This window comes from Homo sapiens, chromosome 11 (genome assembly GCF_000001405.40).
Source record: "Homo sapiens chromosome 11, GRCh38.p14 Primary Assembly".
In the NCBI taxonomy this organism is placed as follows: Eukaryota; Metazoa; Chordata; class Mammalia; order Primates; family Hominidae; genus Homo; species Homo sapiens.
In genome coordinates, this window is record NC_000011.10 from 121,234,779 (window position 1) to 121,257,943 (window position 23,165).

At 41.2% G+C, this 23,165-nt stretch overlaps 2 long non-coding RNA genes and 2 pseudogenes across 2 annotated transcripts, besides 8 other annotated features; 3 read left to right on the forward strand and 1 right to left on the reverse strand.

Annotated features, from left to right (window-relative positions):
- Nucleotides 1,370-1,909: an enhancer, noted in NCBI's record as "OCT4-NANOG-H3K27ac-H3K4me1 hESC enhancer chr11:121106857-121107396 (GRCh37/hg19 assembly coordinates)". NCBI's record gives its function as "activates a minimal SCP1, AML or CMV promoter by ChIP-STARR-seq in naive and primed H9 embryonic stem cells {active_cell/tissue: H9 hESC(naive and primed)}" and the evidence as "EXISTENCE:reporter gene assay evidence [ECO:0000049][PMID:30033119]".
- Nucleotides 1,370-1,987: a biological region, named in NCBI's record as "OCT4-NANOG-H3K27ac-H3K4me1 hESC enhancer GRCh37_chr11:121106857-121107396".
- Nucleotides 1,798-1,987: an enhancer, noted in NCBI's record as "active region_5641". NCBI's record gives its function as "activates an Ori minimal core promoter by ATAC-STARR-seq in GM12878 lymphoblastoid cells {active_cell/tissue: GM12878}" and the evidence as "EXISTENCE:reporter gene assay evidence [ECO:0000049][PMID:35858748]".
- Nucleotides 1,910-2,449: an enhancer, noted in NCBI's record as "OCT4-NANOG-H3K27ac-H3K4me1 hESC enhancer chr11:121107397-121107936 (GRCh37/hg19 assembly coordinates)". NCBI's record gives its function as "activates a minimal SCP1, AML or CMV promoter by ChIP-STARR-seq in primed H9 embryonic stem cells {active_cell/tissue: H9 hESC(primed)}" and the evidence as "EXISTENCE:reporter gene assay evidence [ECO:0000049][PMID:30033119]".
- Nucleotides 2,025-10,381, forward strand: LOC105369533 (uncharacterized). The gene is made up of 3 exons (XR_948108.3): nucleotides 2,025-2,691; nucleotides 9,981-10,185; nucleotides 10,344-10,381. It is a non-coding gene; the product is annotated as an uncharacterized LOC105369533 (long non-coding RNA).
- Nucleotides 2,450-2,989: an enhancer, noted in NCBI's record as "H3K27ac-H3K4me1 hESC enhancer chr11:121107937-121108476 (GRCh37/hg19 assembly coordinates)". NCBI's record gives its function as "activates a minimal SCP1, AML or CMV promoter by ChIP-STARR-seq in naive H9 embryonic stem cells {active_cell/tissue: H9 hESC(naive)}" and the evidence as "EXISTENCE:reporter gene assay evidence [ECO:0000049][PMID:30033119]".
- TRPC6P5 (TRPC6 pseudogene 5) lies at nucleotides 3,526-3,910 on the forward strand (annotated as a pseudogene).
- Nucleotides 5,195-5,743: an enhancer, noted in NCBI's record as "NANOG hESC enhancer chr11:121110682-121111230 (GRCh37/hg19 assembly coordinates)". NCBI's record gives its function as "activates a minimal SCP1, AML or CMV promoter by ChIP-STARR-seq in naive H9 embryonic stem cells {active_cell/tissue: H9 hESC(naive)}" and the evidence as "EXISTENCE:reporter gene assay evidence [ECO:0000049][PMID:30033119]".
- A 36-nt stretch (nucleotides 10,382-10,417) lies between the features above and the next one.
- Nucleotides 10,418-12,264, forward strand: LOC105369534 (uncharacterized). Its single transcript, XR_948109.4, has 2 exons — nucleotides 10,418-10,461; nucleotides 11,908-12,264. It is a non-coding gene; the product is annotated as an uncharacterized LOC105369534 (long non-coding RNA).
- Nucleotides 11,583-12,169: an enhancer, noted in NCBI's record as "H3K27ac-H3K4me1 hESC enhancer chr11:121117070-121117656 (GRCh37/hg19 assembly coordinates)". NCBI's record gives its function as "activates a minimal SCP1, AML or CMV promoter by ChIP-STARR-seq in naive H9 embryonic stem cells {active_cell/tissue: H9 hESC(naive)}" and the evidence as "EXISTENCE:reporter gene assay evidence [ECO:0000049][PMID:30033119]".
- Nucleotides 14,154-14,713: an enhancer, noted in NCBI's record as "NANOG hESC enhancer chr11:121119641-121120200 (GRCh37/hg19 assembly coordinates)". NCBI's record gives its function as "activates a minimal SCP1, AML or CMV promoter by ChIP-STARR-seq in naive H9 embryonic stem cells {active_cell/tissue: H9 hESC(naive)}" and the evidence as "EXISTENCE:reporter gene assay evidence [ECO:0000049][PMID:30033119]".
- RPS4XP12 (ribosomal protein S4X pseudogene 12) lies at nucleotides 15,486-16,195 on the reverse strand (annotated as a pseudogene).

Sequence of the window (23,165 nt, forward strand, 5' to 3'; positions counted from 1 at the left end):
TTCCTCTGCCTCATTTGTCTATGTCATCTTATGTAAAAAAATGTAGATTCACTGAGCCAGACAAAGGCATGAATGACTATTTTTCCCTACCTTCCTCTTACATGGAAATTGTGTACTTCTCAATATTCCGCTCTTTCCCCTTTAAATTTGGAGCCCTTAAAATCAACTTCAGAGAAAGGCATAGTCCTGTCTCCCGGGCGCACACGCTTATATCTTTGGCAAATAAACCTCCTAAAATGATTGAGACTTATCTTGTCATTTTTCTCAATTGACAGGTGTTTCTTAAAACTGTTCAATGCACAACCTGCAAACTGTATGTGGTGGCCTGGCTCGGAACGGAGATTGCAATCCATGCTGAAGCTGCAGTGAGTTCACTGAGTCAGGGGAGTGGCAGCTGATCTGAAATCTTAGTGGTAGCTGGAATCTACAGGTAGGGCTCCACAGACTCCGACTGTGATCACAAACATCATCAGATTCTTGTGAAAACTGATTGATTTGGATGCCAGAAAAGAGTTGCCTAATATCACAAACAGAGAAATCAGAGTTCTATTTCCTAGAGTAGGGATGGATATCCTGAGGACTTCAAAATTGCAGAGGTAGCTGCAGTTTTTGTCACAGTGCCATGGGAAAGGACAAAGCTATCTCCAGAGCCAGGAAGGCTCACCACAAACAGGCTTTTGTAAAATACAAGAACTGGGCATGGAGGTAGTAGGTGCAATTTTGGAAATGCAAAGTATTGGTAGTTAGGAAATGAATATAAATAGATACACACTGCACACACACACACACACACACACACACACACATATTTTTTCTTTTTCCATTTATTCTACTTATGAGCTAGAACTGTGGGACCAGTGCCTTTAAAGTGTTGTCTGAAGTAGCAGGATGATGAGAGGTGAATAAAGATTCTTTTGTGTAGTGAGAGTTAAGCAGGACTACAGTAATTAAAAAGAAAATTGGGGAGGGGGTTGTTAGTGAGGAATACACGGCAGATGTAACTGTTTCTCATGGAGCCCTTGAGGAGATATTGTTAGGAAATGCCAACAACTGTGGGATGGAATGAAAACCACCTTGGGGACATACATATCCAGGAACATGGTGGACTAGATAGCCAAAACATTCCTTCCAGTGCAAACATCTGGAAATACAAGATAAAATGTGATAATCATATTGATAAAAGTATAAATGACCTCATAGAAGGTCAAAGAAATTCTCATCATTCAAAACTAAAAGGGAGCTGGAAATCAGAATAGAAAGCTGACAATAAAACCTTCACTGCCTCCCATGCATTTAGCAATGTTGGTAACCTAAAAGTGGTTATTTTAATGGCTACTGGGAGACAGAAGATGAACTTGCCAGAGCAAGGGAGGATCCTTGGAGAGCAATACCCATGATGACAATGGACCAACTAAAAAAACTCACATCAGAGCAAAGGAAACCAGAAGTAAATTTTTCTGGTTTGGGCTGGGTTATTAGTAGAAAAAGAAAGTCGCCTTTGAGAATTTGTAACCACAGGTCTATACAAAATGACTCTGAAGTTTGGATTTTTGTGAACATAATTCATGGTTAAGAGACATGTAGGTGGCTCTCACCAGTAGTCCCAGCTACCCAGGAGGCTAAGGTGGGAGAATCACTTGAGCCCAGGAGTTTGAGACTGCAATGAGCCATGATCATATCACTACCCTCCAGCCTGGGGAACAGAGTGAGTGAGATCTTGTCTCTAATAAAAGAGAAAGTGTTAAGGAAAAAAGCTGAGCGTTGGGAAGAAAGCTGAGGTGGGGCTTGCGTGACTGACATAATGTCCTCTGGAATGTGTCTAGACTTGCTGGCTCCTTGCTTCTAGCCCTCCTAGGCTCCTAGATCCATTGTATTTCCGTTATCTCAAGTAGCAGAACATGTTCCATATAAATGCTAAACTGTCACAGCTGTAGATCATGTGCCTGCCCTTTTGACCTCCACATTCTCACCACCTGTTTCTTTGTTGGATTACAAATAAATAGCGGGGGCTCCCAGGGCTCAGGGCCTTCACGATCGTGATGGCCCGCTGGTCCCACTTCTCTGTCTCAAACTGGCTTTTTCTCAATCCTTTGACTCCGCCGGGCTTTGTCACCCCCATGACCTGGTGTTGGGTCTGATCACCCCAACGTTCCTGGCTGCTCAATGTGGGGTGACAAAGACCCCGGTGAAGGAACGCTAGAGCGTGTGAAAGCAGAGGACGCATCATCAGAGGACACCTGAGGATGTCTAAAAGAAGCTCAGCAGGAAAGCTGAGTGCTGGGAAGAACCAGGGTAGCAATGGGACAAAGTGAAAGCAGACATTCTGCTTATTTAAATTTCTTAAGGCGTTTATTATGAAGAGGGGGGAGTGAAAGTTAGTGCTCAGAATTTATCACTCTTCAGTGCAGTAAAGCAGTTTTGCCCATGGTTCCCGGAACAAGGGACTATGGAGTTGGATGAATGGGAGAGAATTGGCAGAGATTTTTAAAAAAACATATAAAGGTGGAGCAAATATTCCAGTCTCGGTTTGGTCAATGTGGGCACTAATAAAAGCAGCTCTTGAGCCATTTCAAACAGATCATGAGGCAGATTCAGATGAGGAAGAGGAGGGCGAGTGTAAAAAACTAACTTCAGATTCTGAATGTGAGGAACAGAAACCGGAGGAAATCAAAGAAAGGGAAACCGAAAAAGGTATGTTTTACTAGCCCCTCAGCTCCACCTGCTGAATTAAGTGAATGGCCACCTCCTCTCTCTCCCCTTAGTGGGCGAGAAAATGAATTAGCTACAAAACTTACCGCTCCTGTAGTTGCAACATTAAAACCTGGAGCAATTGGTAGTACTAAGACCCAGTGGAATCTGAGGCTTGTTTATTTAGAGAGCACCTCAATAAACTGAGGCATATCCGGCACAGCCAGTGCCCTTACAAACGGCAACAATTGTCTCCCACCGCGGCGGGCAGTGCTGCCGTGGACCTTTGCAGCACAGTTCTCATTTCCCTGCTTCCTGGGAGCCACTGGAGAGGGTCCCCACGGGAGTTGGGGGACCCTTGCCCTCAGGAACCGTCGGTCTATTACTTGAAAGATCTAGAGGTGGCACTGTGCATACGGAAATGATTGGTTCTGATTATACCAGAGAAATTCAATTAGTTATTAGTTCCTCAACTCTGTGGTCTGCTTCCCCAGGAAAAAGAATTGCTCAGTTGTTGACATAAAGCTGGGAAGCAGCACAGTGAGAAGAACAGGAGGCTTTGGTAGTACTAATCCAACAGGAAAGGCTGTATTTTGGGTTAATCAAGTGTCTGACAAAAGACCTATTTGTACAGTAGACCTGCTGTTGGATGCTTACAGACTGACACACAGGCCTGGTTGGCAGTAGTCTCCGGAAAAAATAAATCATGCGCTGCTTTGCGTAGGGCAAGTCAAGTCATCTTGAAGCTTCAGTTTCATGTTTAACCTGCCTCTGCTGGAGAAAAACAGATTTAATAAGCACACAGGCATGATATGGGCTGAATGTGTTCATTGTGGTGTTTGTGGCCTTTATGATGGGAATGTTCAACCTCTACTACTACATTGGTGCAAAACAAAGTGAAGCCTTCACAACAGAGTTTTAAGACACTGCTCTAGGCTATATTTGGACTTTCTGAAGTGAAATCAGTGGTCATCAACTATAACCACAAATTCATTGAAAACATTGGTTATGTTATTTATGGAGCCTATAATGTTACAATGGTCATTGTTTTGCTAAGTATGTTAACTGCCATGATCAACAATTCATTCCAGGGAATTGAGGATGATGCTGATGTGGAGTGGAAATCTGCAAGGGCCAAACTCTGGTTTCCCTGCTTTGGGGAGGGGAGAGCACTTCCTGTTCCCTTCAATCTGGTGCCAGGTCTGGGGTCCCTGTTTTGTCTCTTGCTGAAGCATAAAGGGTGGATTTTTCAGCTCTACCCAGGGTCATAAAAAAGGTTTCCAAGAAAGATGCAGAGATAAGTCAGTAAGTAGAGATAAGTAAGTGGAGACAAGAAAGTAGAGACAAATAGAGACAGAGACAAATAGAGACAGATAGAGATAAGTAGAGAGAGAGAGAGATAAGTAGAGAGATAGAGATAAGTAGAGAGATAGATGAAGACTAGCAATATAAGATCAGTGCCCTAGTAGAGGTTACTGATCAGTGCCCTAAAGAGGTACAAAAGTAGAGACTAGCAAAGACTAGCAGAGATTTGCAGGGACAGACAAGAACATTCTGAATTATGAAATTAGCTATGGCTCAAAGGGCAAATATAAAGGGAATAGAGGGGAGGGAGGCAAGGATAAAAATGCTCTTTCTTTTCTCTCCAACAGGACCTTTTGGTCCTTTAAATAATCAAAGGGCAGATGCACTGGTGTCTGCAGTCTTTGCTGATGCACAAGCATTCCATTCTTTAACTCATCTTAATGCTGCAGGCCTTAGAAAAAGATATGGTCACATACAAAAAGCTGGCAAAAAGGAAAGATAATTATATGGGGAAGAGGAGTTGCTTGTGTCTATCCAGGTGACAATCAGGAGCCTGTGTGGGTGCCCACCAAACATCTGAAGATCTATCATGAGCCACAACATCTAGTGGACCCACCTGTATAATGCGAATTGAAGGTTTGAAAAGCCTCGATTTGCTTTCTCTGTGCCTTCTGTTAATCAGAAAAGACCTGTTTCCCATTATCAGTTGAAAGTTTTACCTCGCAGTAATTAATCAGAGGCAGAAACTGAGTTAACAAATGCTTCAGCAACGGCATGGTCCCGGCTACAGCCACAGAAGTTTTTGCTTCTGTTTCAGTAGATTTACTAACGTGGGGGGTGAGGGTATACTTGTGCTTTTTCGGGAGATGAATGAACCATGTGGATGCCTTAAGATGTGTACGACCATGGAATGGGAGACTGGAGGGACCCATGGATCCCAACCATGCACTGAGTTCCCCCAGTATGAGCCACGAGCCAGTTGAATCTGAATGAGAAGATGCAACAAGGGCCGACCAGAGTCATGATGCTTAATGGACCAATGCTTTCTGACTCAGCTCCTCTCTACCTTGAATACAAGAGACCCTAATGGTTAGGCAGGAGTATCATTGCCCCTATTCAGTATAAAGAAGTTACAGAAGATGGACCTTCATCATTTTGCAACCCCTAGGATTAAGGATCCTCTTGTAAAAGGGAAAGGGGAGATATGTGGGAAGCATTCAAACCAGAGTGACTCTAGTAATAATGATGGCTAGTAATAATGGTAGTAATAATGATACCTTCTTTTACAAAAAAGAGAAGGGGAGCATGTTGGGAAAAATGCTGAGGGTTGGGAAGAATGCTGAGATGGGGCTTGCGTGACTGACATAATGTCCTCTGGAATGTGTCTAGACTTGCTGGCTCCTTGCTTCTAGCCCTCCCAGGCTCCTAGATCCATTGTATTCCCATTATCTCAAGTAGCAGAACATGTTCCATATAAATGCTAAACCGTCACAGCTGTAGATCATGCACCTGCCGTTTTGACCTCCACATTCTCACCACCTGTTTCTTTGTTGGATTACAAATAAATAGCGTGGGCTCCCAGAGCTCAGGGCCTTCGCAGCCCCCATGATCATGATGGCTCCCTACTCCCACTTCTCTCTCTCAAACTAGCTTTTCTCAATCCTATGACTCCACCGGACTTTGTCACCCCCATGACCTGGTGTTGGGTCTGATCACCCCAACAGAAAGAGCGTGATAGATAGACATGCAGGACAGGATGAGAACAAGGTAGAAGAAATAAATACATGATGGTTGAGAATTTTGCAAAATTGATGGAAGGCACAAATCCTCAGAAACAGGAAAAGAAATCATGAGTAAAAAGATACACAATAGTAATGAAACTGCATAATAAAGATAATGAGATTATCTTAAGAGCAGACAGAGCAAAGACAGATTATCTACAGAGGAATAGTAATTGACTGCCAACAGGCTCTTACCCGCAAAAACAGAAGCCAGAAAACAGTGGAAAACAATTAAAATGCTGAGCCAAAAGTAAATGTTGTTATGCCCCAAGGAAAAATGTATTTCAGTAATGAGGGGTGAATAATATTACAGGATCTTTGGGTTTTGAATTTCTTCCCAGAAACTTGTGGCCAGTGGCGCCTTTACAGTTCTTGTTCTGCATCCAGGAAGAACGAGATATGCAGGCAAGTGAGGGGTGAAGAACATCAACAGGAGCTTTATTTCTGTTAGAACAGCTCAGAAGAGACCCGCAGTGGGTAGCTCCTCTCTGTAGGCAGGTTGTCGGGTCCAGTGGTTCAGTGTTCAGCTCTACAGCGGAGAGGAAGCCCTGGAGAGGGTAACTCCGCTCTGACCACTGGTCCCCCTGTGGTCGGCTACTCTTAGCAGAGAGAAGGCCCTGGAAAGGGGAGAGAGGAGAGTGGGGGGCAGGCTGTGGAGAGGAGAAATAGGAGGCCCTGGAGAGAGAGAATCTTCTCTGCAGGCAGGTAGTTCACACCTCTCTGCAGGTCTCTGAAGCTCTCGCAGAGAGGAGAGGATAGCTCCTCTCTGCAGCTGGTGGTCTGGTTGTTTCTCTGTCCTCTGCCCTCTGCTCTGGCTGTCCTCTCCCCTGCTCTGGCAGGGCCCAGGGCTTTTATGTACTTCAGCCGGGAGGAAGTGCCTATAGATTGGTCCATAGGGGCCTGGAAAAGGCACCACAAGTCCCCACTCCAGTCCGTGCAAGACTGGCAGCCCTGGCCTGAAGGTGGGGCCTTACTGAAGACCCGCCCCCTTCCCCCCAAGAATCTGTCTGCCTGCCACTGCCACTCATGGCCCTGGGGCTCAGCCTTAACCCTGCTTCCAGATTGGAGCAGGGCAGGGAGTGGAGAGAGGCCAGGCAGGGTGAGCAGGCACACTTGAGCCTGCAGGGGTTGGGTGGGGGGCACCTTCCTGTGCCCCCGAGGGTGCAAGCTGGAGATGCCTGAGTCCTGCACCTGGGAGGACCCCCGTGAAGCTGCACTGGGGAGCTCCTGCCCCGCCAACTCAGAAGAGGTGGGGCTCCCACTTGCTCCAGACTCTCGCCTGCTCGCTTTGCGGAGCAGGAGGCCCAGGCCTGCAGCCGGGGGTCGGGCAGCTGCAGCTGCACCCAGGAGGGCAGAGATCCTGCCTGCTCCCAGCCCCTCCAAGAGCACAGGGAGGCTCAGATAGACAGCTGCAGTTTGGGCAGCTGCAGCTCTGTCCAGGAGGGTGGGGCTTCTGCCTGCTCCATGGAACCAGAGGCCAGGGTCTGCAGCCCCTCTTTGGGTGGCTGCAGCGGCCCCTGAGGAGCTCCTACTTTAACTCAGAAGGGGCAGGGCTCCAGCCACATCTCCCTGCTGCAGCCAGCATGATGACTAGCAGCTGCTGCCATCAGTAAGACAATTTTAGACAAACAAAACCAGAGAATTTACCACCAACAGAGCTTTATAGAATGAACTTCCAAAGTTTATATTTTAAGCAAAAGGACAACTTTTTCCAAAATAAAGGTCTGAGGTGCAAGAAATAATGGTAAGCAAAGAAAATAGTAAACATGTAGATGAATAGAAAAAGTTCCTTGCTTAAAATAATGGTAACGCTGAATATGAGAATTAGAAAGAGAAAAGACTAAACTTCTGGACTAAATGACAAGTAACACAGTAGGGGAGGGGAATCTAACTTAAAGCACTGTAGGCTGCTGGTATTTTTGGGGAATGTAGAGATATTGATTAGCTTTAAACATTGTTATATTGAATATGGATTCTAAAAATGTATGGAAACCACTAAAATAGTAGAAATGGAGTATATAACTTTCAAATGAATAATGGGAAAAACAAATGAGTAAAATCAAAGTAATTCCAAAAGAAAAAAGAAAAACAAAGATGTATAGAAAAGGAATCAATAGAAAGCAAAATATATTGTGTATATCAGTCAGAAATCTTTAGTCATAATACATATGGATGAATGAAACTTACTAATTAAAAGACAAAGTTTGATTACATTTTTTTAAGTCCAACTTGATGCCACTTTTAAGAGATAACCTGAAACATAAGAACAGGCAGAGATTAAAATAAAAATCAGGGAAAAACTATACTAGGCAAATGCTAACCAAAACAAAGGTGTTAAAGTTATAATCGATTCCACAGATTGGCTTTAAAGGACAAGCATTTGATTAGAGATAAAGTTATTACTACATTATGATAAACTTTTCATTTCGCCAAAAAGATACAAATATTCTGTACTTGAATGCACTTGACAGCATAACCTCAAAATATAGAAAGCAAAAATGGACAGAATTTGAGAAAAATTACAAGTCTATTATCATATCTGAGATTTTAATATACCTCTCTCAGTAATTAGAAAATTTAACCAACAAAAAATCAGAAAGGAAGAGAAAATTTGAACACTATCATTTACTTGAGGTTGTTTACTAAGTGAAAATCTGTGTACATTATTTTTAAGTACATGTGGAACATTATGTAAGTTGACCATTCACCCAGGCAAAAGCAATTATCCAAAAATTTTAAAGAACCTGTATCACACAAAGCACATTCTCTGACCACAAGGCAATTATATCAAAAGCCAATAATGTTTAAAAAGCTAAAAATCATACAAAACTTCTTATGTTTGCAAATGTAAAAGCACAACAATAGCTAAGCTTTACTGAATGCTTATTATGTACTAGGTATTATGTTTATATTTATTAAGGGTTTTATGTTTATTAATTGCTTAATCTTCACAACAACCCAATGACATGGGTACAATTATAATTCTTACTTTACAAATGAAGAAACTGAGAAACAGAGAGTTTAAGTAATCTGTACAAAGTTACACTGCCAGTAAGTGTCAAAGACGGGATTGAGCCCAGGCAACCTGTTATTAAACCTGTGCTCTTAATTGTGAAGTTGTGATACTACAGCTGCCTTCACTCTTTAAATAATTCATGGGGCAAAGAAACTATCATCATAAGAGAAATCATGATGTTGAAAAGTACTTATCAAATTTGTGAAATGTATTTAAAATTGTACTTAGTGGGAAAAGTAAAAATATAATAGCAAAGGAAAAATGCATGGTAATAATTATAATGGTTATTGATACACGCTAAGTGTCAAACTTAAGCAGAAATTTTTAAAATATAAGAAAAGGCCCGGCATGATGGCACACCCCTATAATCCCAGCACTTTGGGAGGCTGAGGTGGGCAGATCACTTGAGATCAAGAGTTCCAGACCAACCTGGCCAACATGGTGAAACCCATCTCTACAAAAAATACACAAATTAGTCGGGCGTGGTGGTGTACCCCTGTGGTCCCAGCTACTCCAGAGGCTGAGGTGAGAGGATCGTTTGAACCTGGGAGGTGGAGGTTGTTGTGAGCTGAGATTGTGCTACTGTGCTCCAGCCTGGGCAGCAGAACCGGACCCTGTCTCAAAAAAATAAATAAAAAATAAAAGAAAGGTTTGTACAACCTTCTGCCATCAAATTTGAAAACTTAGGCAATTTCCTGAAAATACAAATGTGATTTACTAAAATTGACTCAAGGGAAAATAGAAAACTCAATGTACCTAAAACCATGAAAAAGGCTGAATTTTGAGTTTAAGATCTACAATCAATAGAGAAGATAGATAGATGATACATACATAGATTTAAAAAGCCAACCCATTGACATATAGCTTCAGAATTACAGGGTCAGTTTCTAGATTAAGCATCAGGATATAATGAATTTCTAAAACCTGACCTAGACCTGGCTTTATTACAATTTGAAAAAGTCTGCAAGAGGTTTCTAATTGTATTATGATGGTTATTCACATTTTTAGGTCTTTTTAATTTTATCAGCATATACAAATAGTTTTTTCTAGTGTCCAAACACTAACTTCAGTTAAATTAAACACTGACCTTTGTGGAAGCATTGTGTAAGATTATTATATTCATTCTCACAAGTAGAGAAAATTCTAGACTATAACAAGCTTATAACATTCCCATAATTTTTATCTGTCAGGTCCTAATAAGAGATGAAGAACAATGAAGATATCGTGAAAAATATTTTGCTTCCCTGCCTTCATACAATCCTCTAACAGTCAAAAATGTATCTGCAGCGCCCAGTAAGGCCAACTGATGACTCAAACACAACCCCCCAAGGGTGTCCTTATGCCCTTCCATTGCTTAAAATAAAGAGCTCGGGGGTCACTTACGGAAATCAATGGGTAAGTCAAAATGTTAGCCATATAACGCCAGCTATATTTACTTCAAAGGAAGCAAAACTGTCATGCCCAAAGACAAAAACAAACGTGATATCTGATGACATCATCATACTTTAGTCATTCACCATGCCAAAGAAAAGCTTTTTTTTTTTCTGAGACAGAATCTTGCTCTGTCACCCAGGCTGGAGTGCAATGGCATGATCTCGGGTCACTACAACCTCTGTCTCCCCGGTTCAAGCAATTCTCCTGCCTCAACCTCCTGCGTAGCTGGGATTACAGGTCGGTGCCACTACGCCCGGCTAATTTTTGTATTTTTAGTAGAGACCAGGTTTCACCATGTTGGCCAGGCTGGTCTGGAACTCCTGACCTACTGAGCCACCCACCTTGGCCTCCCAAAGTGCTGGGATTACAGGCATGAGCCACCGTGCCCGGCCTAAGAAAAAGCTTTTTAAACAACACAGATTGAAATAGAATAAAGCGGATAACGACAACCACGAAAACTGCTACTGAAATCAAGTGTAGCATGATAAACTCTGTGGTGGGCCCCTTACCTGGGTGCCCTATGCATGTGCTATGTGCTTATTTTGCTTAATGCTAATCTAATCTCTTAGCCTAGACTAATGTATAATACTATTCATGTCATTTTCCACCATCCCTAATGTGAGAGATTGTAAAATCCAACCACCTTTACAAATATATATGCTCTGGAGTATGTTTATGCTTCTATAACAAAAATATTCATGAAACTCAACAGAAGGGTATTCCAGATCTAGTCTAGATACTGTGGAATTTATTTATTGAGAATTTTTCTTACTGTTCTGGTGAAATATGTTTTCATTAGGGTGCTCTCAAACAAACCAACAAAACAAAACAATTTGACTTAAACAATAAAAAACTGACCAGCTTGCATTTACACAAAGTCCAGAGATAGGCTCCATGTTGATTGATTGGTTCAGAGGCTCACTTGGATCAAGAACTTAGGTTCTTTCCATCTCTTTGCTCTGTAACCACCTGGTTTATATCATTTTCAAACCCAGTTCTTATGGCAGCGGCTGCTGCCATCATGCCGGCTGCAGCGGGGAGGTGTGGCTGGGGCTGTACACTCCATAGAGCTGGCGGGAGCCCCGCCCCTTCTGAGTTGAGGCGGAAGCTCCTCGGGTGTCGCTGCATCCTCCCAAACCATGGTTGCAGGCCCAGGCCTCCTGCTCTACTGAGCCTCCCTGTGCTCTTGGGGGTCGGAGGGCGGGAGCAGGCAGGATCTGCCCTCCCGGGTGCAGCTGTAGCTGCCTGACCTACGGCTGCAGACCTGGGCCTCCCGCTCCAAGGAGCAGGCAGGAGCTGGGGACAAGCACGAGCCCCACTCCTTCCAAGTTGGCGGGGGGCGGGAGCTCCCTGGGTGCAGCTGCCTCTGCCCTCCCAGGTGCAGGACTCGGGCATCTCTGCAGCCTGCAGCCTCAGGGGGCTGGGAAGACACCTGTCCCCCAGGCTCCGGGGTGTCTGCTCCTGCTGCCTGGCCTCTCTCAGCTCTGGGCCTGCTCCAGTCTCTGAGCAAGGTTGGGGCCAAGTCCTGGGACCATGAATGGCAGTGGGAGGCAGACAGATTCCTGGGCGGAAGGGGTTGGGTCCCCCGTAAGGCCCCACCTTCAGGCCAGGGAGGGCCTGAAGGCTGGGGGTAGGGCGTCCAGTTCCACAGATCAGAGTGGGGACCTGTGGTGCCTCTTCCAGGCCTGCCCATGGCTGCTCATGGAACAATCGGCTAGCGTTTCCTCCCCTCTGAGATCCATAAAAGCCGGCAGCTCAGCCAGAGCAGGGCAGAGGGCAGAGGACAGAGAGATGATGGGATGACCCGCTGCAGAGAGGAGCTACCCTCCTGCTGAGAGCTTCAGAGACCTGCAGAGACTTCCAAATGATCTGCCTGCAGAGATGAGCCACGCTTTCCAGGGCTTTCTCTCTGCTGAGAGCTGAGTACTTGAGGAGAGGGCCTGCCTAGGAGCCGACCTGACTACAGAGAGGAGCTGCCCACTGTGGGTCTCTTCTGTTCTAACACTAAATAAAGCTCCTCTTTATCTTCTTCACCCTTCACCTGTCTGCATACTTTATTCTTTATTCTTCCTGGACGCAGGACAAGAACTCAGGGCAAAGGTGCCACTGGCCACAGAGGTTTTCAGGAAGAAAATTGACACCCCAAAGATTGCCACCGGCTACAGAGGCTTCCAGAAAGAAAATTGACACCTCAAAGATCCCGTAACAGTTCCTCTCTAGGTTATAGGACAGCTGCCAATTACAATAAGGCCTGCTCACTTTCTTCTTTACATTCAGCAGAGAGAAATTGCCTCTCCCTAAGCCATCAGACAGTCTATCTTCAGTCTTTTGGGGTCAGTTTGCGATGCTACCCAAACAATGTAGGGCTGGTTCCTTGAAGCAATCACTGATTGGCTTGCTGGCCAGGGCCCATCTACTGAGTTCAGGTCAGTTCCTCAAAGCTCACTGCTGCAACATGATGGAAAGTGGGGGTGAATGTTGAGGAATCAACTACTCTATCCACTACAAAAGATTTCCTCAGAAAACGCTCATGTTTTTACTAAACTGACGCTTGACTGTACATTTATTTTGAAGTTTGCTAAGATGAAAGGAATTTTAGTATTTCTTACAGTTAGTGTCTAAGGTAGATCTCTGGAAAGGTTACGTGCCATCTTGAATTGCAGTTAGATTTCAGACAATTCATGAAATATCAATATTCAAATATAAATAGGAAGTATAAACTGATTTTTAACCTAATTTTTAAAAAGTCAGTTATTAGATAAAATAATGTTAAAGTAAAAATTGTAGCTAAGCATTAAAGGCAATAAATATGTCCAAAGACATACATAGAGAGATTCTTTCAATTGGAGGAAGACCACTCCCCTAATAATCTAAGGTTGCCTTACATGACAGCTACAGTGCATAAACACTCAAACATAATTTTATTCTTGAGCTGCAGAAAATTTAAACATTTGTGTGATATCGTCTACATATATGGAATATACGCATTCCTTTCGCTCTTCAAAATTTCTGTAAGGAAGTAATATATGCACATCGCAACAAAATTCAACCAGCACCAATAGTTTTTTAAGTCTCTTTCTCACTCAAATTTCCCCAGAATCTTCCTTCTTAAAGGCCTAAGATTATCAGTTTCTTGTGTGTTCTTCCCTAAATATTCTGTATATAAGAAAACAGATACAGCCTTTTTTTTTTTTCTTTGTGAGATGGCGTGTCGCTCTGTCTCCCAGGCTGGAGTGCAGTGGCACAATCTCAGCTCATGACAACCTCTGCCTGCTGGGTTCCAGCGATTCTCCCACCTCAGCCTCCTGAGTAGCTGGGATTACAGGTGCTCACCACCATGCCCAGCTTTTTTTTTTTTTTTTTTTAGTAGAGATGGGGTTTCACCATGTTGCCTAGGCTGGTCTCGACTTCCTGACCTCAAGTGATCCACCTGCCTCGGGCTCCCAAAATGCTGGGATTACAGGTGTGAGCCACCACGCCTGGCCCCCAGATACATCCTTTCAAAAAAATACAAATGGGAACACAGCTACACTGTTCAGAAACTTGCTTATCTTCGTTTGATAATACACTGCGTTCATACTCCATAGAGTGATCCAACCTTGAGTAACTAACTGCATGATTATATCTCATGAACTTGAAGTGGAGGTAAGGACAGCACTTGGGCTTAGATGACGGCTGCTGTAGAAGGAGTGATTCACTGCCCAGGAAGGGAAAATGCAATGAAGAACAGGAGCCCTGAAGGAATGTGCCACAGCACCTGGAGTGAGGGAAACAAAATCACCAGCAAGAGGTGAAAGTGATGGGGACAAAGAAGGCTGGGGCCTCACAAATTGCCTACGGTTGTTGTTGTTGTTGTTGTTGTTTTGAAACAGGGTCTTGCTCTGTTGCCCAGGCGGGAGTGTGGTCGCACAATCTCGGCTCACTGCAACCTCCGCCTCCCAGGTTCCAGCAATTCTCCTGCCTCAGCTTCCCAAGTAGCTGGGACTACAGGCAGACACCACCACACCCGGCTAATTTTTGTATTTTAATAGAGACGAGGTTTTGCTATGTTGGCCAGACTGTTCTTGAACTCCTGACCTCCAGTGATCCACCCACCTCAGCCTCTCGAAGTACTGGGATTACAGGCGTGAGTCACTGCACCCAGCCTGTTCTTTTGTCTTTCAACAATCTAGAGTCAGAGTGAAGAATTTTACTGTGATTCTGAAAACAAAGAATTCTTTACTTGGTTAATGAAGTTTTGTTTTGCTTTGTTTTTTTTTCCTTCGTCTTTGTGTAATGGTTTTTGAATGGGCTGTTTTTGAATAAAAGCCTTTCGTCCTAGGGCAATCCCATAGTTAGGGTATTTCTGCATGTGAGATTCTCTACTTCACCACTAGATGGACCTACTTGATATTTTGTCTTCCGAAAAAGCGAAACAATTTTATACTGTGAAGTCTTTCTGACAAAGATTTAAACTGCTCACCTTAAAAAAAGATTTGAGGGCTTAAAATAATAATAAACCAAATCACTTTTACAAAATAATGAGTAAAATGTACTTATATATTTAAATAATGTTAATAAAATGAAACACTTGTATAACCGCCTCCTGGCTTAAGAAATAAAATATAACCAAATAAATCCTTGAAGCCAACTATGCTTCCTCTCTGATTTTCCCCTTCTTTTTCCCACCTGGATAAATTGTAAATTATTGGCTATTAAAAATCGTTTTATAATATGATATATCTCTAAACAATATAATGTGTAATTTGTTCAGGTCTTGAAACTTGTGTAAAATAACTCACATTGTATTTATTTTTCTCTGACTTGCTTTTTTCCACTCATTATTCTTTTTCTGAGATTCATTCACGCATTTTTAAAACTGCTTGATGGTATTGTGTTTTATAAATAGACTAAAATTAATTTCTCCATTTTACTGATTTTGGACTTGCTTGTTTTCATTGAATATTATGATTTTAAGATTTTCATGTTAACTCATGCAGCTGAGATTAAGGTAGATTAAACATTCCTGTTTTATCATCTGTATCTAATACTTCCAGGGTCAATCTTGGGGTTCTGCTCCTCCAGTTTACTCTTTTTTTCTGCTGGATTGGGTTGATTTGGGCTTGTTTCCATACGTGTTTTAATAATTTTTTTAAAAAAATACAAATACATGTTCCTTCAGCAGAAAGTCTCTGAAAGCAATGTTTTCATTTTTACTTCTATGATTTTATATCTTTAATTAGCCCCTAGAAGTTCTTCACTTCTCCCATCTAGAGCTCATTTCACTCACTGCCCTTTTTGGCTTCTAGACTGTCACTGTCTCCAGCAATGAGGAAGCAGGCATCTTTTCTTTGGGGCAAGGAATCCACGGTCTATTGTCTTCTCCAATAATGAATATGTTGGAAAGCTGGATGGCAAAGCTATTGCCATTGACATCTTTCACATGAACCATATTAAAAAAGTCAGGTTGCCTCTCTCTTTGTCTCGTGCTCTCTTTCTGCTGGTGATTACGCCGATCTGTTCCAGGTTAGCACTTTCAGTCAACATACACGGGTTATCAGAACTTGGTGAAATGGCTAATTAATTTGACCAAGCTCCAAATCAATCTGGAAAATGTCAATCTAGGTGATGCCCACAGAGATCTTTCTTATTTCTCAGAACTTACACTTGGCCTCCTCAGGCATAATTTGATGAAAATCAAAGTGACCTCCGGGTCACAAATCAGATGGAAATTCTCACCGGCCTTGTCAATGTTGATGACAGGCATAAAACTGGCAGGGTAGCTCACATCACTGTGGAGCCTGCCATCCGTTTTAATAACCCACTGCATGCACATCTTTTTTTACTTCCTCCTCTGTAAGAAGCACACTTGTGCTTGTTTCTTAGGGAAGCGATGAGAGGGAGAAGCTTGATAGGGCCAGTGGATGTCCAAAGGGCAAACACACCGGTCAGTTTTCAGCATCCAGTGCTTTGGAGCTGCTGCATACTTCAGGATGATGAATCATAGCTGTTCTAAGTACAGAAAGAGCTGAAATCAATGTTTCGCAGAGAGGATTTGCTTTGCTTCTGCTAGGAATTGGGGTAATACCTGAGGCTACTTTGAAATGAAATACTGGCATGCTTGTATTCAGATCCTGCAGTTAGCATGAATTACGTCACCAAACCAACATGAATGTGGGTTTGTGGTTTAAAATTCAGAGATTTTCCCCCCTATTTATTCTAGAGCCAAGCCCAAACAGACAAGTTTGCCTTGGAGTGGTTAGATTCCACATCAAACCTTTCAAGTTCTGGCTTAGGCTAGAATCTTAGATTCAACTCCCCATCCTTCTTAGGATCCAAACTTTGTCTCCTATCCATTACAGGCTATCAAAACTCACGTTCCAGGCTTTCCAATTTCGAATCACAAGAGACTGTTGCTGCTACCCTGTCAACAACGATAAACCAGGAAGCTACAAAATCAGAGTATCATAGTTTTTAAAACCCGCAAAAGACCTGAGGAGAGAAACCTAACTAAACTAAAATCTAAACCTAAAAATCTCGAAAGTAAAGAGCCCTTCTTTTCAGAGTAGAGATCTATGGCTGTTTTCATCCTAGCAGAACAACTAAAAGAGAAAGGAATACATCATAATAGATGGTAAGGAGAAACTGGCCATATTTACTGGCTTTTTACTGACTGCAATGTGAACTAGCATGATGAGTTAGAATCCCAAGGAGCCCTAACCACAGAAGGAGCAGGCCCCTATCTGCCATGTACTATCATGTCCCCAGCGTTGCACACAGGCCTTCACCAAGGGAACATAGATAGTACATGGAAGGCTGAGAGGAGAGCAAAAGAGCTTAGAAAATGCTCAGCCCTTTCCCAAATTAAGATATTGGCCTGGCAAAGCTGGGAGCAGTGCAGAAAGAGGAGAAAAATCTCTCTAAGGCACTCTGAACTTTCAATTGCCAAAGGTTGGAGGCAGAGAAGGAGAGCTGAGAGAAATCCCTTCAAGGCACTGTAACCCATTACTGAGAGCAAAGCAGTGACCCTCCAAAGACCGGAAGCAGGCCAGTAGGGCATACAGATGGTGTACAGACAAGCCTCATTTTATTGTGCTTTGCTTTATTGAATTTTGCAATTGTGGGGGTTTTTTTGGATTTTTGTTTTGTTTTTTTTTTTACAAATTGAAAATGTGTGGCAACTCCACACTGAGCACCATTTTTCCAACAGCATTCACTCACTTCATATCTCTGTGTTACACTTTGGTATTTCTACAGTATTTTTAACTTTATTATTATTACTGTATCTGTTATGGTGATCTGTAATCCGTGATCTTTGATGTTACTATTGAATTGTTTTGGGACACCAGGAACTCTACCTATACGAGACACTGAACTTAATCAATAAATTTGTGTTCTGACTGCTCTAACAAGCAGCCATCATTCTGTTTCTCTCTATGGACCTCTCTATTCCCTGAGACACAACAACATACAAATTAGGCCAATTAATAATCTTACAATGGCCTCTAAGTGTTTAAGTGAAAGGAAGAGTTTCACATCTCTCACTTTAAATATAAAGCTAGAATGATTAAGCTTAGTGAGGAAGGCATGTGGAAAGCCAAGATAGCTGAAAGGGAAGCCTCTGGTGCCAAACAGTTTGCCAACTTGTAAATGCAAATAAATAGTTCTTGAAGGAAATTAAAAGTGCTAGTCCAGTTAACACACAAATGATAAGAAAGATCAGCCTTATTGCTGACATGGAGAAAGGTTTAATGGTCTGAATAGAAGATTAAACCAGCTACAACATTCCTTTAAGCCAAAGCAAAATCCAGAGCAAGGCCCTTAATATCAAGGCGAGGCTCTCCATCAGCAAGATTATGACTTTCTGAAGGCTCAGATGATCATTAGCTTTTTTTTTTTTTTTTTAGCAACAGTATTTTTTAATTAAGATATGTACATTGTACTTTTTAACATAATGCTATTGCATGCTTAATAGACTACAGGATCGTATAAATGTATCTTTTATGTGTACTGGGAAACCAAAAAATTGGTGTCACTCACTTTATTGTGGTATTTGTTACTTTGTGGTGGTCTGTAACCAAACCTGCAATATGTCCAAGGTATGGCCATTGTATTAGTCTGTTCTCATGCTGGTATAAGGACATCCCCAAGACCACGTAATTTATAAAGGAAAGAGGTTTAACTGACTCACAGTTATGCATGGCTGGGGAGGCCTCAGGAAACTTGCAATCATGGCAGAAGGAGAAGCAAGCACATCCTTCTTCACTTGGCAGCAGGAGAGAGAAGTGCTGAGCAAAAGGGGAAAAGGCCCCTTATGAAACCGTCAGATCTCATGAGAACTCACTCACTATCACAAGAACAGCATGGAGGTAAGCAACCCCATGATTCAGTTACCTCGCACTGGGTCCCTCCCATGACACGTGGGGATTACAGGAACTACAATTCAAGATGAGCTTTGGTGGGGACACAGCCAATTCATATCAGCCATATAAAGAATGAGATGGAACTGAAGAACAAAGAGAAATTCTCAGTGACTAAAAAACTGGAATCCAGACTGTGAAGCAGAGAGAAATCTCTCATGGTTCAGAAAAATTGTCTGTGCTATAAATTAGCAAGGAAATTTCTGATGTCTTACTTGTACTTACTTGGTGCTTTTACAGAGCTAGGGATTGTTAGAATTCTGACAGGATAAGGGCTGAGTAATTTTCTGGGGAAAATATCATTTACTTCAGTCTCTTTTGTTCTTTTATGTACTACAAAGCACAATAAAATGAGGTATGTCTGTATACCATCTCTCTATGCCCTACTAGCCTGCCTCCAGTCTTTGGAGAATCACTGCTTTGCTCTGGGAAATGGCTTATAGAGCCTTGAAGGGACTTCTCTTAGCTCTCCTTCTGTGCCTCCAACCTTTGGCAATTGCTGCTTTGCATTCAATGAAAGCTCAGAGTGCCTCAGAGAGATTTTTCTCCTCTTTCTGCACTGCTCCCAGCTTCACTGGGCCAATGTTAATTTGGGAAAGGTCTGAGCACAATGTACAATCAAAACTGTAAGAAGCCTGAGGTGAATCACTTGAGCCCAGGAGTTTGAGACCAGCCTGGACAACATAATGAGACCTGCCTCTACAAAAAAAAAAAAAAAATGAGTTTGGCATGGTTGTGCAAGCTTGTGTTCCCAGACACTCAGGTGGCTCACTTGATCCTCAAGTAGGAGGATCACTTAAGCTTGAGAGGTTGCAGCTGCCATGAGTCATGATCATGCCACTTGCACTCCAGCCTGGGTGAAAGGTAAGACCTTGTCTCAAAGCAAAACAAACAAACAACAACAATAACAAAGATGAGACACATAAAAATGCAAGAAAATTGAACCCATGATTATGACAGGAAAGAAGCAGACCTTGAGGTAGATCAGATGTAATTATCAGGCAAGGATTAAAAATAACCATGAAAATGTATTAAGATGGAAAAGCTGGAAAACATTCACGAACATATGAGGAATATCGGCAGATATGGCAACTATAAACATGGATCAAATAGAAGTGCCAAAAATAAAAAATATCTATCATAAATAAAAAATTCATTCAATGGTATCAATAGCAGCCTAGACACACAGGAGGAAAATATCTGTAAACTTGAAGATGATAAAGGTCATAAAAACTGAAACACACAAGTAGAAAGCAGAAAATACAACAAAATATCTGAGGTCTATAGGACTCATGTATGTAATTAGAGTAGCAGAGGAAAGAAGAGAAAATGGGGCAAAAGAAATTATTGGAGAGATAATTTAGATTTTCCAAAATAGTTAAAAAAACTGTCAGCAAACTTCAGGCAAGTTCACACATATGCCCCTAGATAACACACTTAAGAACATCAGACTCAGCCTGCTGAAAACCAAGATAAAATCTTAAAAGCAACCATTACATATTATATACAGAGAAAAACAATAAGAATTATTGCTGACTTCTCATCAGAAGTAATATAAGCCAGAAGACAATGGAAAGACCACTTTTAAATGCTTTAAGAAAGAATGTCAACCTAGAATTCTATATATAGTAAAATACATCCTTCAAAAGCAAAGACAAAATAAAGACATTTTCAGATGAATGAAAGTGGAGCTATTTTATTTCCAAAAGATCTGCACTATAAGAAATGTTAAAAGGGTTGCTCAGGCTGAAGAGAAATAATACCAAATGGAAGCTCAGAACTGAAGGAAGGACACAAGGAAGGTTTGTGAATAAATAAAAAAAAAAGTTTCATTATGTTTAAGAGATAAAAACATACATACTTATATCTAAATTTCTTCAAAAGACTATGAACTACTTATAGCAGAAATAATATGTTTATATAATATAAGTTATACTATTGTGGGGTTTATAACTTCTGTAGAAGTAAAATACACAACAAAAACACAACATATGTGGGGGCAGGGGGTAAATAGAACCATACTGTTGTAAGATTCTTATATTGTTCACAAAGTAGTATAAAGCTGTTTTAAGACAGACTATGATAAGTTGAAGATGTAGATTGTAATCTTTAGAACAACACTAAAAACTAATCTTACAGGTATAGCTAGAGAAAGCAAAATAAAATTATTTTTAAAAACCCCACACAACTCAATTCATTTAAAAGAAGGTGAAAAGCCTCCTCTGGCTGCAGGGTGATAAGCATATCAGTGAGTGATGAGCAGGGGTTAGGGCAATGTGGCCACAGTGGTTTGAGGGCTGCAGGTGGACTGACTCCTCCATATGCCCAAGGTCCTCAGTAGGCTGCTTAACTCATTTAACTCATCATCACGTAGCATCGTGTTGAGAGAATGGTGATATCTGGAGTGGGTTGTACATGCAGAAGTTCAGTAGGATGAGCTGAGCTCAAGTTTGTGATGTATTAAAACTAGCATCTCACTGATCCTCTTCCTTGCTACATTTTAAAGCTGTTTTTGTGATTCAAATGAGCTTTTAGCCTCCTGGTGAAGCTTTCTGTATTTGCAGGTGACATTGCTAACTGTCTGAGTAACTCAATGAAAGCTTTTTTTCTGAAAAAGTGAACATTTTTGTTTACATAATCAATTGCTTTTCCTCAATATATCAAAAATTTTATACCATTTTAAAATATGTATGGGAGGGGGAAGATAATACAAAGATATGTTGAATGGGAAAAAAACTGGCCAAATTAGTATTTCATATCATTCATGGTAAGATAATAAACTTTTTTTTTAAAGATGTTGGATGTAAACTAGTATATTAGAAAGCAAACCACTCTCCTTTGTTCAAACAATGATTACCTTAAACCCTGCTGTATTTATTAAAATATTTTATTAACATTTTTAAAAAGGAGGTAGAAAAGGAGAAACAGAAAAGTTGCAAATAGGGACAAATAAAAACAAATTCTGAGATGGTATATGTCAATCTGACAATATCAATAGTTATGTCAAATATTAATGGACTAAACCCAAGCTCTAAAATAGCAATCATCAGCTCAGGGGAAAATGCCAGCTCAAGAGTTCCTTTTCTCTTGAGGGAATAGCTTTTAAAAATTATTTCCTCTGGTGCAGACTCTGCAGTTTGTTGGCTCCTGAAGAAAACTAAATATAGAATTACAAAAGGATCCAGCAATTCTACGCCTTAATATATACCTGAAAGAATTGAAAGCAAGAACTCAAACCCATACTTGAACAGTAATGTTCATAGTAGCATTATTCACAATAGTCAAAAGGTAGGAACAATCCAAAAGGCCCATCAACAGGTAAACATAAAGAAAATGTGGTGTATATATACAATGAAATATTATTCAGCCTTAAAAAGGAACAAAATGCTGATACATGCTACTTAACATGGATAAATCTTAAAATTACTATGCTAAGTGAAATAATCCAAACACCAAAGGACAGATTATTGTATGATCCCACCTATATAAGGTATCTAAAAGGGCAAATTCATAGAGACAGAAAGTAAAATAGAGGTTACTAGAGGCTAGGAGCAGGCGCGGAATGGAGGTTATTGTTTAATGAGTTCAGAGTTTATGTTTAGGATGATGAAACAGCTCTGGAAATGCAGAGGTGATGGTTGTACAATATTGTAAATATGCTTAATGCCACTGAATTCTATTTTAAAATGGTTAAAATGGTACATTTTTATTTATGTGTATTTTACCACAATGAAAAATTGGGGAAAAAATCTGACTTCCAATTATGTCCTCTACTTTATGCTGTAGTTATGCTTTAAAGCATTTTTTCATATTTTATTCAGGCATGGATATACTTTGCCATATTACTGAAAGTGGCAGACAGACAGCTCTAAACATCTTTTAAGTTTTTTCTTTACCTAATTTTCTTTCTTGTATGCACAAGCTTACATATACTTAGTCCAGATATCACTCCTTCCTTTCCTCTCTCTGCCTCTCTCTCTCTCTCCTCTAATGAGTTATCTTCACTAACCCTAATTCTTCTTCCTTGCCATTCAGGCATTCCTCATTACACTCTAATCTCACTTCTGCAGTTCCACTCCCCTTCCTCTGTAGCCATTAATCATGCTTCTATAGCCATAGTCAAAGCTAATGATGACTTTTCAGACTTTATCTTAATTGACTTCTGCCCACACTTGGCATTGTTGATTACAGCATCACTTTTTAAACACTCTTCAGCCTTGCTCTCTGTAAAACCATACTCTCCTGGGCTTCCAACCTCCAATTTCACCTTCTAAGTCTCCTTCACTGGATCTTTTTCCTTTTCCTCAGCTCAACCCTTAAATTTCCATACCTCCTAAATTTCTATTTAAAAATATCTTTTAGTTTTTACTCTAGGTGCTCTTCAGGAATATTTCATCTACTTTTTTGTTTTTAACTATCACCTCTAACAGAATTCACCAACTGTTGCCTATTGGCCAAATGCAGTACCCAGAAAAGAGAGGTCTTATTGTTGTTTTTTTAATTTGATGCCTTAGATAGGATTTGTAATGTCTAGTTTGTCAT